At 45.0% G+C, this 18,836-nt stretch overlaps 1 pseudogene across 1 annotated transcript; it reads left to right on the top strand.

Annotated features, from left to right (window-relative positions):
* Positions 1 to 740: 740 nt before the first annotated feature.
* GABARAPL3 (GABA type A receptor associated protein like 3 (pseudogene)) lies at positions 741 to 3,661 on the top strand (annotated as a pseudogene). The gene is made up of 2 exons (NR_028287.1): positions 741 to 2,600; positions 3,633 to 3,661. The product of NR_028287.1 is annotated as a GABA type A receptor associated protein like 3 (pseudogene) (transcript).
* The last annotated feature ends 15,175 nt before the right edge of the window (positions 3,662 to 18,836 follow it).

Genomic DNA, 18,836 nt, shown 5'->3' with positions numbered 1-18,836 from the left:
CTGGCTGGTGGCTATCCCCTGCCGCTCTCTGCAGCTTCTGTTCCTTCTGCCTTACCTTGTTCTCTCGGCGGTTTGTTCACAATGATCAGGTGTGTGGGGAGTAGGGGAAAGGAAGCTTGGTCTCACGAGAAGAGCAGTCAGTACAGGAAACCAATCATGTACCCGCAATGGCCACGTGAAGAGAGGATCATTACCTGTTGAGGGGTTGGGTGCTAAAGGGCGTGGCCGAGAGGAGGCGTAGAAGAGCCAGGAAAAACTGTGAAAGGACTTCAAGGAGCATGAAAAGACAGAAAGACTTCAGCACTTGCTATAACTGAATTTATTTATTTATTTATTTATTTATTTATTTTGAGACAGAGTCTTGCCCTGTCGCCCAGGCTGGAGTGCAATGGCACCATCACAGCTCACTGCAACCTCTGCCTCCTGGCTTCAAGCGATTCTCCTGCCTCAGCCTCCCAAGTAGCTAGGATTACAGGCGTGCACCACCACGCCCGGCTAATTTTTTGTATCTTTAGTAGAGACGGGGGTGTCACCATGTTGGCCAGGCTGGTCTCGAACTCCTGACCTCAGGTGATCCACCCGCCTTGGCCTCCCATAGTGCTGGAACTACAGGCGTGAGCCATCGCACCCTGCCAGAACTGATTTTTTTAAAGAGAGAGTCTATCATTATCTATTGCTGTGTAACAAATTACCCCAAAATTTATTGGTTTAAAAAACCAAATATTTGGTTTTTGTGCTCCCAGCTGTTTGGAAAAGCCGCCGGTATTTCTCCACCTGGCTCTCCTCTACCTCCAGGCAGGCGCACCCGAGGTCCCCCTCCCACCCCACCTTCTGCCCTCCCGCACACTTGGACCAGTGCTGTTGACCCGGAAGCGGACATTTCTGCAGCTATTCTAAGCACACGTCGGCGGAGGGAGCGGGACGTGGCCAGCGGTCAGCGGCGAAGGAGGCAGGCCCTGCGCGGGGATCACGGAAGCCCTGTGATTCACCATGAAGTTCCAGTACAAGGAGGTCCATCCCTTTGAGTATCGGAAAAAGGAAGGAGAAAAGATCCGGAAGAAATATCCGGACAGGGTCCCCTTGATTGTAGAGAAGGCTCCAAAAGCAAGGGTGCCTGATCTGGACAGGAGGAAGTACCTAGTGCCCTCCGACCTTACCGATGGCCAGTTCTACCTTTTAATCCGGAAGAGAATCCACCTGAGACCTGAGGACGCCTTATTCTTCTTTGTCAACAACACTATCCCTCCCACTAGTGCTACCATGGGCCAACTATATGAGGACAGTCATGAGGAAGATGATTTTCTGTATGTGGCCTACAGTAATGAGAGTGTCTATGGGAAATGAGTGGTTGGAAGCCCAGCAGATGGAAGCACCTGGACTTAGGGGTAGGGGAGGGGTGTGTGTGTGACTTGGGGAAAGAGAGGGCGGCTCCCACCGTGAGGAGACAGAAGGTGAAGACATATAGAAACTTTACACCGCACACACCGTCAACGCATTTTCACATGCTCAACTGATATTTTTTGTTGCTTCCTTGGCCCAGGGAGAAAGCATGTCAGGACAGAGCTGTTGGATTGGCTTTGATAGAGGAATGGGGATGATGTAATTTTATGGCATTCCTGAGATTTAATTTTTGTGCAGTTTCATAGAAAGGTCGGTCAGGAGGTGGACAAGTTGGGGTCAGAGATGATGGCAGTCCAGCAGCAACTCCCTGTGCTCCCTTCTCTTTGGGCAGAGATTCTGTTTTTGACAGTTGCACAAGACAGGTAGGGAAAGGGGACTTGTGGTAGTGGGCCATACCTGGGGACGAAAAGAGACCCACTGTAATTGATGCATCGTGGCCCCCGATCTTCCGTATCCCACACTTCTTTTCTCCCATCCCAGTTGCAATCTCACTCACAAACATCACAGTACCACCCCAGGGGCGGCAGTAGACACCAACCCAGAAATTTAGACAGGGATCTCTTATCTTTGGAAAATAGGGGTTAGGCATGAGGGTGGTTATGATTAAGAAGATAATTTTGTTGTTAAATAGCATTAAACTGGAATTGACAGAGTGAGTTGAGCATCTCTGTCTAACCTGCTCTTTCTCTCTGGTGCTCCTCATCTCACCCCTACCTTGGAATTTAATAAGCTTCAGGCATTTCCAATTGCAGACTAAAACCACTTCTACCATCTCCTCTAGTATTTTCCATGTATCAGGACAGAGATGTCTTATGTAGGGAAGGGGCAGGTATGAAGTGAGGTAGATTATCTATACCTCTCACTCATTCAGGATTCTCGCTCCCATGCTGCTGTCCCTTCATTCTCACACTCACAGGAATGCTATGTGATGGCCAGCTGCTTCCCTTCTTGGTTATCCACTGCAGCTGCTAGTTAGAAAGGTTTGCAGGGATGACTTTTAGTAAATCATGGGGATTTTATTGATTTATTATCACTTATAGGATTTTGTGGGGTGGGAGTGGGGAGCAGGAATTGCACTCAGACATGACATTTCAATTCATCTCTGCAAATGAAAAGGGTTCTTCCTCTTGGGGGAAATCTGTGTGTCAGTTCTGTCAGCTGCAAGTTCTTGTGTAATGAAGTCAATGCTGTCAGGCCAAGTGAAGGGAAAAGAGAGATCAGACTGTTACTGTGTCTATGTAGAAAGGAAAGACATAAGAGACTCCATTTTGAAAAAGACCTGTACTTTAAACAATTGCTTTGCTGAGATGTTGTTAATTTGTAGCTTTGCCCCAGCCACTTTGACCCAACCACTGTGACCCAACTTGGAGCTCACAAAAACATGTGTTGTATAAAATCAAGGTTTAAGTGATCCAGGGCTGTGCAGGACGTGCCTTGTTAACAAAATGTTTACAAGCAGTATACTTGGTGAAAGTCATCGCCATTCTCTAGTCTCAATAAGCCATGGGCACAATGTACTGTGGAAAGCTGCAGGGACCTCTGCCCTTGAAAGCGGGGTATTGTCCAAGTTTTCTCCCCGTGTGATAGTCTGAAATATGGCCTCGTGGGATGAGAAAGACCTGACTGTCCCCCAGCCCGACACCCGTAAAGGGTCTGTGCTGAGGTGGATTAGTAAAAGAGGAAAGCCTCTTGCAGTTGAGATAGAGGAAGGCCACTGTCTCCTGTCTGCCCCTGGGAACTGAATGTCTCGGTATAAAACCCGATTGTACATTTGTTCAATTCTGAGATAGGAGAAAAACCGCCCTATGGTGGGAGGCGAGATATGTTTGCAGTAATGCTGCCTTGTTATTCTTTACTCCGCTGAGATGTTTGGGTGGAGAGAAACATAAATCTGGCTTACGTGCACGTCCAGTCATAGTACATTCCCTTGAACTTAATTATGACATAGATTCCTTTGCTCACATGTTTTTTGCTGACCTTCTCCTTATTATCACCCTGCTCTCCTACTACATTCCTTTTTGCTGAAATAATGAAAATAATAATCAATAAAAACTGAGGGAACTCAGAGGCCGGTGCCAGTGCAGGTCCTTGGTGTGTTGAGTGCCGGTCCCCTGGGCCCACTGTTGTTTCTCTATACTTTGTCTCTGTGTCTTATTTGTTTTCTCAGTCTCTTGTCCCACCCGACTAGAAATACCCACAGGTGTGGAGGGGCAGGCCACCCCTTCACCAAGGAAATGAAATAATTGCTTACCTTAAAAAACAAAACAAAACATTTGCCAGGTGCAGTGGCTTATGCCTGTAATCCCAGCACTTTGGGAAGCTGAGGCAGGAGGATTGCTTGAGCCCAGGAGTTCAAGACCAGCCTGGGCAACATGGCAAGGCCTCGTCTCTACTAAAAATAAAAAAATCAGCTGGGTTTGGTGATGCGTACGTGTAGTCTCAGCTACCTGGGAAGCTGAGGTAAGAGGATCACTTGAGCCTGGGGAGATTGAGGCTGCAGTGAGCCAGGATGGCACCACTGCACTCTGGCCTGGAAGACAGAGTGAAACCCTGTCTCAAAAAAAATTATTTTATTTCTGTTGATTAGGAATCTGGAACAGCCTAGGTGAGTATCTCTAATTGAAGGTCTCTCACAAGGTTGCAGTCTAGACACTGGCTGGGACTACAGTTATCTGTAGGATTGACTGGGGCTGGATGATCAGCTTGCTCCCAAGCTCCCTCATGTGACTGTTTCCTCACGTGTAGCTTCTCCTCACAACGTGTCAGCTGGCTTCCCCAGGGTGAGTGATTGAGAGAAAGAAGCAGAAGCTGCAATCTAACCTTGGAAGTGATAGACCATCATTTCTGCCATACTCCTTTGGTCACACAGACCAACCCTGGTACAGTGTGGGAGGGGACTACACAAAGGTATGAATACTTGGAGGCAAGGATCACAGTGAGTGTATTAGTCTGGGTTCTCCAGAGAGAAAGAATCAATAGGATATATAGATATAGAGAACCAGGGAAGCCAGTAGTGTGAGTCAGTTTAAGTTCAAAGGCCCAAGAACTTGAGGGGCTGCTGGTGCAAGTCCTGAAGTCTGAAGGCTGAAGAACCTGGAGTTCTGATGTCTAACATCAGGAGAAGGGTGTCCCAGCTCAGAAGAGAGAGAGAGAAAATTCGCCTTTCCTCTGCCCTTTTGCACTATCTGGGCCCTCAGCTGAGTGGATGCTACCATCCACCCTGGGTGAGGGCAGATCTTCCTTATCAGTCTACTGATTTAAATGCCAGTCTCTTCCAAACACACTTACAGGCATAACTATAAAGCTTTCTCAGCTATCTGGGTATTCCTTAATCTAGTCAAGTTGACACCTGAAACTTTTTTTTTAGAGACAGGGTCTCACTCTCTTACCCAGGCTTCCATGCAGTGGTGTGATCATAGTTCATTGCAGCCTCAAACTCCCAGGTTCAAGTGATCCTTCCACCTCAGCCTCCCAAGCAGCTAGGACTATAGGCATGTGCTACTGCACTTGGCTAATTTTAAAATTTTTTATAGAGAGGGGGTCTTGCTATGTTGCTGAGGCTGGTCTTGAACTCCTGGGCTCAAGTGAGCCCCCTGCCTCAGTCTCCCAAAGTGCTGGGATTACAGGCTTGAACCACCACACCCAGCTGACACCTAAAATTAACCATCATAGTGGGCCACCTTAGAGGCTGACTACCACAGGGACTACAGAGGACTTTAGGACATTGTCCTTGTGATGTACTCCATCATGCTCCTATGACAGCTCTTTAAGGAAACTTACAGTAAAGATCTCTATGTATGGGGAACTGGGGAGACGATCCCATTACTCAAACTAGGAGCCTTAGAGACTTCTGCAACCCTTCATGCTACATAGGATCAAAGTCTTGGGTACTACCTCTTACCTTCTTGCTACTCAATTCAGCTATGACTGCCAGTTCTACTCTGTTGCAACCATAGAATGTTGGCTCCAGAATGCTCTATGGGTCAGTTTCCTTCAACACTTCAAAAAAGAAGTAGGCTACAAGTTCCTTTATTTCAGCTTCCCCTCAACCTCTCTGGGGTTCCTATTATTACCCTTCCCTACCTTTCCCATTGATGTTAATTTCCCTGGCCTACCTTTAATCATGGAAGGCTGTCAAGAAGTGTATTTATTAGGAACTGCACTTGTCCATATGCAAGAGAACCCTGACTACTGTGGTTTATCCAAATCAGGGATTATTTTTCTCATGTATCAAGAAGTCTAAAAAGGCTGGTTGCAGTGGCTCACACCTGTAATCCCAGCAATCTGGGAGGCCGAAGTGGGTGGGTCACTTGAGGCCAGGAGATTGAGACCAGCCTGGCCAACATGGCAAAACCCTGTCTCTACTAAAAATACAAAAAAGTTAGCTGGCCATAGTGGTGCATGCCTGTAATCCCAGCTACTCAGGAGGCTGAGTCAAGAGAATCGCTTGAGCCTGGGAGTTAGAGATTGCAGTGAGCCGAGATTGCACCACTGCACTCCAGTCTGGATGACAGAGAGAGACTCTGTCTCAAAAAAAAAAAAAAAAAAAAAAAAAAAAAAAGTCTAGAGATTGGTAATACTTGGCTAGTAAAGTAACTCCAGGATGCTGTCAAGGACCTGGGTGTTCTCTGTCTTCCTGCTCTGTCAACCCTGATGGGTGGCTCTTGTCCTCATGGTCACTTCCAGTCATCATGGCTGTATTCCGGAATAGAATATTCTGCCAGAGCAATAGAATGCTCTGCCATTAAATGTTATTATCACTGAAATTATGTCATGGAACATAGACAAATGAAAGATGTAACAAAGTGTGTGGCAAAACACATGTGAAATATGATTCCATTTGCATCTGGTGAATATCTGTCACTTGTCTACCAGCACACTATCCTTCTAGGGGAAATAGCAACTGATTTTTCTTTACAGAACAGCACCCCATGCATAGTTCAGATGGGAGCTGCCATCTGCTTACCTGATCCCTCCTCTCCATCACAGGGTCTGGTTTGGAGGTGAGCACTCAACCCAAACTGAGCCTACCGCAGAACTGTGCTATCTTGCCCAAGATGATTTGTCAAGAAGAGCACAGATGACTCATGCTGAGCCTATCAGGGACCTCTCCTGGGACTTTGTAAGCTGGAACCAAAGGAAAAGGACCTGTTGCTTTCCAGAAGTAAAGATGGGAAGACGTGAGTCTGTAGGCCATGGCAGCCATATTTCCTGCCAGCTGGACCGCATTCCGAGAGAATGAGACGAAGGCAGAGAGAGGGAAGCAGAGGGCAGAAGCTGGAAAACTTTTGAGAGCATTTTGAATCCTGGGTCACTGAGGCCAGAAATAACTCTGAATTTTCCTTATGTTTGTTTTATGAGTCAATAAATATTCCCATCTTGCCTAAGATAGTTTGAATGGTAAAGTCCAGGCACTTGCAATTCAAACATTTCCCACTAATGCACCATCATTTCTGTTTCATGCATATGTACACACATATACACATATATGTACATAAATACAGTACAGAAATACATTTTTCTTATCTGTATTTTAAATCTTCCTTAAAGAACACATTAATTTTTAATACCAATTTTTAGAATTACCCATTTAAAATTATTCATTGTAAAGGATCCAGATAATTCACCCAAAAGTGAATAAAATTAGAAACAAAATGAGCAGTTTTCATCTTTGCTAATAATAACAAAGTAGCAAAATTATCTCAAACCCTTTTAAGCTGAACCACTTCCAGGATAGTTAACCAATTCAACTCCTTGGTGGAAATTCACAACAAAGTACTTAATGTCTAGGTCTAAGTGATTTAAAAGGCTGAGGCAGGGATTATCACCAATTGGTTTGATAATGGACAGTTATCTTAAGAGCTCCCTCTTTACAGATAACAAGGGGTCAGCATGCCCACATTTGCAGGAGGGAGGCCTGAGTAGATTTCTGGAGGGACTCCCCATCTATGCCTGCCAAGATCTGGGAACCAACTTCATTTCCTGTTTCTGCAACCCCACATCCTTTATAAAAAGACTGTTCTGTGTGCTGTGAACCGTATGAGGAAGCCTTTGTGACCTTCATACACTAATTTTTGCAAGACAGAAATTCTCTATTTAAAGATGCATGTTGAAGGCTCACGCCTGTAATCCCAGCACTTTGGGAGGCTGAGACAGTTGGATCATTTGAGGTCAGAAGTTCAAGACCAGCCTGACCAACATGGTGAAACCCCATCTCTACTAAAATACAAAAATCAGGACAGGTGCGGTGGCTCACGCTTGTAATCCCAGCACTTTGGGAGAACAAGGCAGGGCGATCACGAGGTGAGGAATTTGAGACCAGCATGGCCAACACAATGAAACCCCGTCTCTACTAAAAATACAAAAATTAGCCAGGCGTGGTGGCAGGTGCCTGTAATCCCAGCTACTCAGGAGGCTGAGGCAAGAGAATCGCTTGAACCTGGGAGGCAGAGGTTGCAGTGAACCAAGATCAGGTCACTGCACTCCAGCCTGGGCGACAGAGCTAGACTTCATCTCAAAACAAAACAAAATTAGCCCGGCGTGGTGGTGGGCTCTCATAATCCCAGGTACTCGGGAGGTTGAGGCAGGAGAATTGCTTGAACCCAGGAGGTGGAGGTTGCAGTGAGCCAGGATAGCGCCACTGCACTCCAGCTTGGGAGACAGAGTGAGACTCCCTCTCAAAAAATAAAAAATAGCCGGACGCGGTGGCTCACGCCTGTAATCCCAGCACTTTGGGAGGCCGAGGCGGGTGGGTCACGAGGTCAGGAGATCGAGACCATCCTGGCTAACATGGTGAAACCCCATCTCTACTAAAAATACAAGAAAAAATTAGCCGGGCATGGTGACAGGCGCCTGTAGTTCCAGCTACTCGGGAGGCTGAGGCGGGAGAATGGCGCGAACCTGGGAGGCGGAGCTTGCGGTGAGCTGGGATCACGCCACTGCACTCCAGCCTGGATGACAGAGCAAGACTCTGTCTCAAAAAATAAATAAATAAATAAATAATAAAATAAAACACATTGCTAAACCCTACCTTCCTCCTAAGTAGGAGGAATTTAAAAAATAAAAATAAAAAAAATAAAGATGCATGTTGAAATCACATATTCCATCACCATGGGGAATTTCTCATTTCCTCTAACAAAACACTTTTCTTTATTTTTATGATTATATAATATACATTCTTTTTTTTTAAAGAAAATTAGAAATATACATAAAGAGAAAATTCCTACCATCCAGTACAAAAACACTATTAATATTTTGTTACGTAACGGCCGGGTGCAGTGGCTCACCCCTGTAATCCCAGCACTTTGGGAGGCTGAGGTGGGCAGATCATTTGAGGTAAGAAGTTCAAGACCAGCCTGGCCGACATGGTGAAACCCCATTTCTACTAAAAACACAAAAAACTTAGCCAAGTGTGATGGTGGGCGCCTGTAATCCCAGCTACTCAGGAGGCCGAGGCTGGAGAATCACTTGAACCTGGGAGGCGGAGGTTGCAGTGGCCGAGATCGTGCCATTGCACTCCAGCCTGGGAGACAGAGTGAGACTCTGTTTCAAGAAAATAGATAAATAAATAAATAAAAATACAAAAATTAGCCTAGTGTGGTGGCACACACCTGTAATCCCAGCTACTCGGGAGGCTGAGGCAAGAGAATTGCTTGAACCCGGCAGATGGAGGTTTGCAGTGAGCTGAGATCTTGCCACTGCATTCCAGCCTGGGCGACAGAGTGAGACTCCATCTCAAGAAAAAAAAAATTGTTACATATCTTTCAAGTCTGTGCAATAGAAAATTTTCTCTGAGCAGAAGCTAGAGTTCAGACATCTCTGGAGAGAGGGAGAGACTCCCTTTCTTTCCCTACTCCATTTGGATCCTCTATGTGTGTTGACATCTGGTGTTTTTTTTCTTTTTAAACTGATCATGGCTCGTTGCAGCCTTCAACTCCCGAGCTCAAGAGATCCTCCTGCCTCGGCCTCCCATAGCACAGGAATTACAGGCATGAACCTGTAATGTAAACCCTTTTATGTTTAAAGAGAGGGGAGATTTTTGGTACAGCGGTGCCTAGGGAGGCAGAGAGGAGGACACTTTGGTGAACAGTCTGGTGTCAGCTGGTTTCTTCTGCCAGCCCATAACAGCAACTGAGAACAAAGGAGTGAGACCTTGGTCCCAGGTGACACCATGTCCTAATCAGTTGCTGACTGTGGTTCCCCATGATAGCGCCACGCCCCTAAGCAGGGCTGCTGCAGTGCAGGCAACCGGGAGGTGGAGGAGGCTGCAGGTGGAGGCTGCAGGGCATGTACTTAATGTGTGAAATAGTGCCACCTGTAGAGATTCCCAAACGAAAAGGGAAGGATTTTCCGAATGAGGGTGAGAAACAACACTGAGGCCATGTAGTTAAGGAGATGGTGTTTCTCAAATTGCTTCTCAAACACCTGGGGAGCTTGCATTTAAAAAAAAACAAAAAACTTTTAAACGCCTTTTATTACTTTGATCATTTTTACTTTTAATGACGTTAGCAGCAGCATTGTATTTGCAGGAAACCTTGTACATTACACTTACATAGGTGATCCAAAATAAATCCACAGTATTTTTGAGTGGCCAGGGAACATTAAATATCATATGGCAATTTTTTGGAATATGATGACTTTCACAGCATTTTCTTTTCCTCCTTTGTGGGAACGAAAGAAAGCAATATGCTATTTTTAAAAGTTTGCAGGCAATGTGCTAAGTTGGTTTTGTTTTTTAATTTTTTTGAGAAAAAATTCACAAGATAAAATTCACATTTTTGAAGTGTACAGTTCAGTGTGTTATTTATTATTATTATTTTTTGAGGTGGAGTCTCACTCCGTCGCCCAGGCTAGAGTGCAATGGCACAATCTCGGCTCACTGCAACCTCTGCCTCCCGGGTTCAAGCCATTCTCCTGCCTCAGCCTCCGGAGTAGCTGGGATTACAGGCAGGTGCCACGATGCCTGGCTAATTTTTGTATTTTTGGTAGAAACAGAGTTTCACCATGTTGGCCAGGCTGGTCTCAAACCCATGACCTCAAGTGATCCACCTGCCTCGGCCTCCCAAAGTGCTGGGATTACAAGCATAAGCCACCACGCCCAGCCCAGTGTCTCTAAATTTATTCCTAATGTTGTGCAATCATCACCAGCATCTAATTCCACAACACTTCCATCACCCCAAAAGGAAACTCTGTACCCATTATCAGTGCCTCCCAATTACCCCCTTCTCCCAGCCCCTGGCAAACACTACTCTACTTTCTGTCTGTATAGTTTTGCCTATTCTGGACATTTTACACAAATGAAATCACACAACATGTGGCCTTTTGTGTCTGGCTTCTTTCACTTAGTGTAATGTTTCAAGGTTTCTCCATGTTGTAGCATCTACAGTTTCAACCTGCAGGGCTCAAGCGATCCTCCCACCTCAACCTCCCAAGTAGCTGGGACTCCAGAGGCACGCGCCACCACACCTGGCTAATTTTTGCATTTTTAAAGTAGAGGTGAGGCCTCACCATGTTGCCCAGACTGGTCTCAAACTTCTGGGGTCAGGCGATCCTCCTGCCTCCATCTCTGGAGTAGCTGGGACCACAGGCATGAGCCACTACATCCAGCTGAATGTACCGTTTTTGTTTATCCATTCGTCAGTTAATGTGGGAGCTTGCATTTTTAAATCCGTATTCCGATTCAGCCGGTCTAGGATGGGGCTTGAGATTGTGCATTTCTAGTAACTTCCCAGGTGTTGCTTGAGATACTGCTGGTTCAAGGACAACACCTTGAGTAGTGAAGATTTAGACACCAAAGTCTACATTTTAGAGCACAGTGATTTAAGATATCAATGTAGACATGAACCTGGAACATACTGGTTAAACACACTCATACATATACACACTTTTTTTTTTCAAACAAGCAATAATGAACTCATGCTGTTGATATTATTTAGTAACTTGCTTCTGTAACTTAACCGTATTTATGAACATAATGATTCATGCAAACAAATCCACAAAAGCATCATGACCCATCAGATCAAAATACAACCAACTGATTCCCAGCCTGGGCTCTGCTGAAACACTCCATTACACTTCCTTTATCAAGACTAATGAGGTATTGATTTTTAGCATTGAATTCTGACCTAACCAAAGCCACTGCTCATCATGAGCACATGAATGAACTTTTGTTTCACAGCCTGGGCTTGACATTAGCAAACATTTCAACACCAATATCTATAAGCAACAAATAGTCATATTAATGGTAATTGTAATGAATGCTTGTTATAGACAACGGGAATGCAACATCCCTGGCTTATGAATTTGCCAATTGCTCTTCCTCATTGTGGGTCTTTCTCATAGAAGATGGGCAGTGCCTCTTTTGTGAGAACATTTCTGGGCCAAGGATATCAAGAGACACGTTGGTACACATCAGCCTAAATACATTACCTTATTTCATCTAGAAGGCCACTTATGTACCACCAAGAAAGGGAACAAAACTGCCGATTAAACTCTGACATTCTGTCAATTGTGAGATAAATCCTGATTTCAATGATGTTAAAAGGTAATAAAATGGCTGGGCATGGTGGCTCATGCCTGTAATCCCAGCACTTTGGGAGGCCGAGATGGGCGGATCACCTGAGTTCAGGAGTTCGAAACCAGCCTGGCTAACATGGTGAAACCCTGCCTCTACTAAAAATACAAAAATTAGCCGGGCATAGTGACGGGCATCTGTAATCCCAGCTATTCAGGAGGCTGAGGGGGGAGAATCCCTTGAACCAGGGAGGCGGAGGTTGCAGTGAGACGAGATCACATGACTGTACTCCAGGCTCAGTGACAGAGCGAGACGCCAACTCAAAAAAAAGGTAATAAAATGTACATCTCAGAATGAGTGCAGTGTGCAAAGTGCCAGTGTTCCCACCTGTACTAGACTGGTTTTTTTTTGTTGTTTTCTGTTTTATTTATTTATTTATTTATTTTGAGACAGGGTCTTGCCCTGTCATCCAGGCTGAAGTGCAAAGGCATGATTATGGCTCACTGCAGCCTCAATGTTTGGGGCTCAAATGATCCTCCCACCTCAGCCCCTAGAGTGGCTGGGGCTACAGATATGCACCACCACACCCAGCTAATTTTTAAAATTTTTTTTTATAAAGACAGGGGTCTCTCTATGTTGCCCAGACTGGTCTCGAACTCCTGGGCTCAAGTGATCCTCCTGCCTCGGCTTCTCAAAGTGCTGGGATTATGGGCATGAGCCATCAAACCTGGCCCTGTACCAGATTCATTTTACATGCCGTTACAAATCCTGCACTTGCCTTGCTTTCTGGCCAGAACTCTAACAATGACTTGCTCTGTGGTAGCTACTCCAGGTTCCTCATGTCACGTAAGGGCATGACACCACAGCACCTGGCCTTGCACCAGCATCTCTGCTCCTATCCTCCTGCCATGTGGGTTTCCTGTTGCTATTGATATGAGAGACCCTGTGGACCATCTCAAATCCCATGGATGCACAGTGGCTTACCCTCCAGGTTGATGCTTGGCCATAGAGGCTGACACTTCTGTCTTGGGTTCTGGCTTTCTCCATGGCTGCTGGAGGAGTTGGGCGGCTCAACTCATAAGCTAAAAGGAGTTGACACCCTGAGGGGCAAACTTCGACCAATAGGAGATGGCAGCCTATAGATAAACGTATTCCCTTCCTTACCCCCTCCCCACCTGGGCCTCTTCCTGTGACTGCACAGAGTGTGGAGAGATGCAGTGGCTTACTCTGGCTTCTCAGAGACTCGCTTCCCCTATGCGAGCTCAGTTGCTTCTTCTAAGAGTGAGGAAGCAATTGTGCTTGCCTAAGTTGTGGTCAGGACCATCATGCATGCTCTTATGTTGACTCGTCCTCGTTGTTTGACTTGTTCCCCTTTTCCCTTCACTCATGCCTCCCTGGGATTCTATACTCTCATAAAGCTTTGCCTCAGGCTCTCTTTTCTAAGGAACCCAGGCTAAGACACCAACTCAACTGACACATTTTGTGGGAATGTGGTCATGTGCCAATGTAAATAGGGAAAAGAGAAGGGGTATGAAAAGAGAGGAGAGGTAGAAGCAGCATTCTGGAATTTTCCAAGATGTCAGTATCAGGACTTAATAATTTTTTACTCACAAAAGGCAGTTGATATAGAAGATCTCTTTATGCTCAGATATAACAGCTACTATTTGCCTTTAGAAGGAAGTAGATCCAACATCTGACTTCTTAGAGATTAATTATAATAATTACAATGAATGGTGATAATAGCTCCTTTGACCTAGCATTTCCACTTCTAAGAATTTATCCTAGAGATACTTCTGAATGTACACAAAGTTGTGTATACAAGATAATATTACATTGTTTGTCATAATGTTTGTAGTAACAAAAGAGTGGAACAGCCAGGCATGGTGGCACACATCTGTAGCCCCAGCTATTCAGAAGGCTGTGATGGAAGAGTCCCTTGAGCCCAGGAGTTCAAGGCTATGGTACACTATGATGTCACCTGTGAATAGCCACTGCACTCCAGCTTGAGTAACATAGTGAGGCCCCCATCTCTAAAAATAATAATAATAATAATAATAAATAGAAACAACCCAAATGTCAATCAGTAGGAGACAGTCTAAATGAATTATGATTCCAAGGCCATGAAACAGTATGTAGCCATTAAAAATAATGAGGTTGGCTGGGTGCGGTGGCTCACGCCTGTAATCCCAGCACTTTGGGAGGCCAAGGTGGGTAGATCGCCTGAGGTCAGGAGTTCGAGACCAGCCTGGCCAACGTGATGAAACCCAGTTTCTACTAAAATTACAAAAAATTAGCTGGGTGTGGTGTTGGGTGCCTGTAATCCCAGCTATTCAGGAGGCCAAGGCAGGAGAATCACTTGAACCTGGGAGGTGGAGGTTGCAGTGAGCCAAGATTGTGCCATTGCACTCTAGCCTGGGCAATGAGACCAAAACTCCATCTCAAAAAAAAAAAAAAAGAAAAAGAAAAAAAAAGATCTGTATATACCTTTCTATAATTCACAGACTATCTGGAATGATACGTAAGAAACTGCTAAGTAGTTACTCTGGAGAAGGGAACTGGGGACCTGTGGCCTGAGCGACAGAGGTGGGAGTGAGTCTTACTTTTCACTGTTTGTTTTGCTTCCAATTTTGAAATTTTATTTTATTGTATTTTATTTTTTGAGATAAAGTCTCATTCCTGACACGCAGGCTGGAGTGCAGTGGCACAATCTCGGCTCACTGCAACCTCCACCTCCCGGGTTCAAGCAATTCTCCTTCCTCAGCCTCCTGAGTTAGCTGGGATTACAGGTGTGCGCCACCATACCCAGCTAATTTTAGTATTTTTAGTAGAGCCAGGGTTTCGCCATGTTGGCCAGGCTGGTCTCGAACTCCTGACCTCAGGTGATCTGCCCGCCTCGGCCTCCCAAAGTGCTAGGATTACAGGTGTGAGCCACCATGCCTGGCCTGAAATTTTACTTCTATTTTTAATTTTTGTGGGTTCATAGTAGGTTTATATATTTATGGGGTACCTGAGATGTTTTGATACAGGCATGCAATGCGTAATAATCACATCATGGAAGATGGGGTATTCATCCCCTCAAAAGCCGTTGTGTTACAGACAATCCAATTATATACTCTTTTAGTTATTTATTATTATTTTCTAAAACTGAGACAGGCTCTCACTATGTTGCCCAGGCTGGTCTCATACTCCTGGGCTCAAGTGATACTCCTGCCTTGGCCTCCCAAAGTGCTGGGATTACAGGCGTGAGCCACTGCACCCAGCCCTCTTTTAGTTATTTTTAAATGTACAATTAAATTATTATTGATTGTAGACAATTTTTTAACCATATATATTATTACTGTAAACCAAAAATAAAATTCTAAGGCCCCCACCAACCATGTACATTCTTGGGTAGGGCTCTTTTAAAATTTAACCTGACGCCGGGTGCGGTGGCTCCTGCCTGAATCCCAGCACTTTGGGAGCCCAAGGCAGGTGGATCACCTGAGGCCAGAAGTTCGAGATCAGCCTGGCCAACATGGTGAAACCCCGTGTCTACTAAAAATACAAAAAATTAGCCAGGCGTTCTGGTGGGTGCCTGTAGTCCCAGCTACTCAGGAGACTAAGGCAGGATAGTCGCTTGAACCTGGGAGGTGGAGGCTGCAGTGAGCTGAGATTGCACCATTGCACTGCAGCCCAGGTGACAAAGCAAGACTTCATCTAAAAAAAAAAAAAAAAAAAAAAAAAAAATTTAACCTGAGAAACTGGTTCAGCCATGAAGGGAAGTGGTGTTCAGACATGCCTCATTATACCTTGCTGGCACTGACATCAACACAGACATGAAGTCTGATAAGAAACATTTTACAACGTATTCTCTCTGAAGGCTTCCTCTACAAATAAGAACTTTGGTCTCTGCAATCCTTTCCAGTCTCCAGAAAAGAAATCCAGGCCTTTTTTTTCTATTGATCCAAGATCTTTAGATAAACTCAACCAATTGTCAAGCAGATAATTTTTAAACCCACCTATAACCTGGAACCCATGCCCCGCTTCCAGTTGTCCCACCTTTCTGAACCGAACCAATGTATTTCTTAAATGTATTTGATTGAAGTCTCACGTCTCCCTAAAATGTATAAAACCAAGCTGCACCTTGACCACCTTGGGTACATGTTCTCAGGACCTCCCGAGGGCTGTGTCATGGGCCATGGTCACTTATATTTGGCTCAGAATAAGTTTCTTCAAATATGTTATAGAGTTTGACTGTTTTCGTCGACATTACCTAATTGCCTAATTTCTACTGAGTGCTCACGGGTGCTTATCTTACTCTGTGATGTGGGAACTATTATTATTCTCATTTTGCAAGGAGAAAACTGAGGTATAAGAGGTAAAGTGACTTGCTCAGGGTCACACAGCTGCAGCAGCTGAGCCAGGATTCATAACTAGATCCAGCTCCAAAATCTAAGGGGACCAACTCATCGTGGTTTGCATGAGACTTTCCTGGTTTTTGCAATGAAAGTCTCACATGCTGGGAAATCTTTAAAAACTGTCCCAATTTTAAAATTGAAAGGCTGGGTCCTTTCAATTTTACATGAAAGGCTGTATCCTTTCAATTTTACAACCTCTTTCAGTCCTAGGCAAACTGGGATGGTTAGTTATCCTACTGAAGTCCCATATCTCGGCCACTTTGCTCTGCTACCTCCCTTATGAACAAATGTGTTCTATCCGATTCAGCATTCACAGGTGCCTGTAAACATGGAACTTGTATAATAGCTGCATCTGTGGATTCCTTTTGAGGCCCCTCCCCAGGCTAAATCCTCCATCTCTCAGAAATGCCCTTTCCTGCTGGAGAGGGTCCCTGGGGCCGGTTTGCGCCAACCATAGGATCCCACTTTCCTCTTGTCCAATGGTTGGATGGGGAGAGGACATTTGATCTAGGTCATAAACTCAGTGGCCACAGTCAGATTCTCTTTCCCAGGAATATGGACGTGGGATTTCGGAGACTCCTACCCAAGTGTGCAGGACTTTTGAGGTCATGGCAACCCTGTGATTGAGGGTGCCATAGGGCCATGTGTAATGAACTAGGAAGTGGGCATACCAAGCAGAAGAATAAACTGCAGAAACAAACAGTAGAAAGCTGACAGGAGAAGACAAGAAGACTGGCTCTGAGGCCACGTGGCTTCCAGCCTTGGGGTTCTTGTTCCTTGTGCGCCTGGTTTCAATTCATGCCCTGGATGCTACAAAACCACCCTATACCTTCCCACCAAATCCCTCTTTTGTTCTGGTGCTATTCTGAGTGAGTTTCCATTCTTTGAAAATCAGCATTCCCCAAATAAGGAAAACATTACTATGAATTTTTTTAAAAAGCAATTTTGAAATATAAACTTTGCGTTTTGAAGGCTTGCAATCCAAAGCAGAGAATTCTAATATTGCCCAACCTAGAGGGCCACAGGACTAATAATGTTTGGTATTCTAATTCAGGGGGCACTTTTCTTCTTTTTAAAGTACATAGGTAGGCCGGGCGCGGTGGCTCATGCCTGTAATCCCAGTACTTTGGGAGTCTGAGGCAGGTGGATCACCTGAGGTCAGGAGTTCAAGACTAGTGTGGCCAACACAGTGAAAACCCGGCTCAACTAAAAATAAAAATAAAAAAAATTAGCTGGGCATCATGGCATGCTCCTGTAATCCCAGCTACTTAGGAGGCAGAGGCAGGAGAATCACTTGAACCCGGGAGGCAGAGGTCGTAGTGAGTCGAGATTGCGCCACTGTACTCCAGCCTGGGCAACAGAGCGAGACTCCATCTCAAAAAAAAAAAAAAAAAGTTAAAGAAAGAAAGTACATAGGTAATAGGTAACTACATTTTCATGTTCAAGGTCACAAACAATACAGAAAAGATAAAGACCTATTCCATACCTTCAGCAACCTCGTTCTTTCTCATCTACCCCAACGTACACATTATTACTGGTTTCATGGGGTGCAGATCATTTTTTGTACCTTTCTATTCATATGTGTATTTTTCTCATAAATTCTACCACACACTGCAGGCCCCAGTCTGCCAGTATGTAGTCCAAATGTAGCCCATAATGGGTTTTGGATTTTTATTTATTCTTATTTTATTTTTAGAGATGAGGATTCACTCTGTCACCCAGGCTGGAGTGCAGTGGTGCAATCATAGCTCACTGCAGCCTGCAACTCCTAAGCCCTCGCCTCAACCACCATCATATATAGTCCCAGCTATGGCAGCCACCAAGCCTGGCTCCATAATGGTTTTTTTTTTGACTCACATGGTATTTTCTTTCCTTCTTTCTTTCTTCTTTCTTTCCTTTCTTTCTTTTCTTTCTCTTTTCTTTCTTTTCTTTCTTTCGATGGAGTTTTGCTCTTGTTGCCCAGGCTGGAGTGCAATGGCGTGATCTGGGCTCACTGCAACCTCTGCTTCCTGGGTTCAAGTGATTCTCCTGCCTCAGCCTCCCGAGTAGCTGTGATTATAGGCATGCGCCACCACACCCAACTAATTTTGTATTTTTAGTAGAGACAGGGTTTCTCCATGTTGGTCAGGCTGGTCTCAAACTCCCGACCTCAGGTGATCCGCCCACCTCAGCCTCCCAAAGTGCTGGGATTACAGGTGTGAGCCACCATGCCCGGCAGTATTTTCTTCTTATATTCTGAATTAGTAGCCAGCTTTTAAAATTGGGATATTTCATGGGAGTCTTGAAAATCTGGAAAATAAGGCATTACTGGGCTTGCCCTGCTGCCTGGGAAGGATTGACTGACACTGAGTGGTGGGTTGCCCTTGGTAGAAGAGTGAGATCCCCTCCTCTCCAGCCCCCACCATTCCCAGGTGTCTTACACTGGCCCACCTTACCATTTTATGTTGCCTGCCTGGCTTTTATAAGTGTTTGCTTTTTTTTTTTTTTTTTTTTTTAACCTTTGTACATGTTGTTCAATGACTTTC

This window comes from Homo sapiens, chromosome 15, assembly GCF_000001405.40.
Source record: "Homo sapiens chromosome 15, GRCh38.p14 Primary Assembly".
NCBI classification, from domain to species: domain Eukaryota; kingdom Metazoa; phylum Chordata; class Mammalia; order Primates; family Hominidae; genus Homo; species Homo sapiens.
Note: the sequence above shows the minus strand (reverse complement) of the source record. Positions and strands in the feature narration are given on the sequence as shown.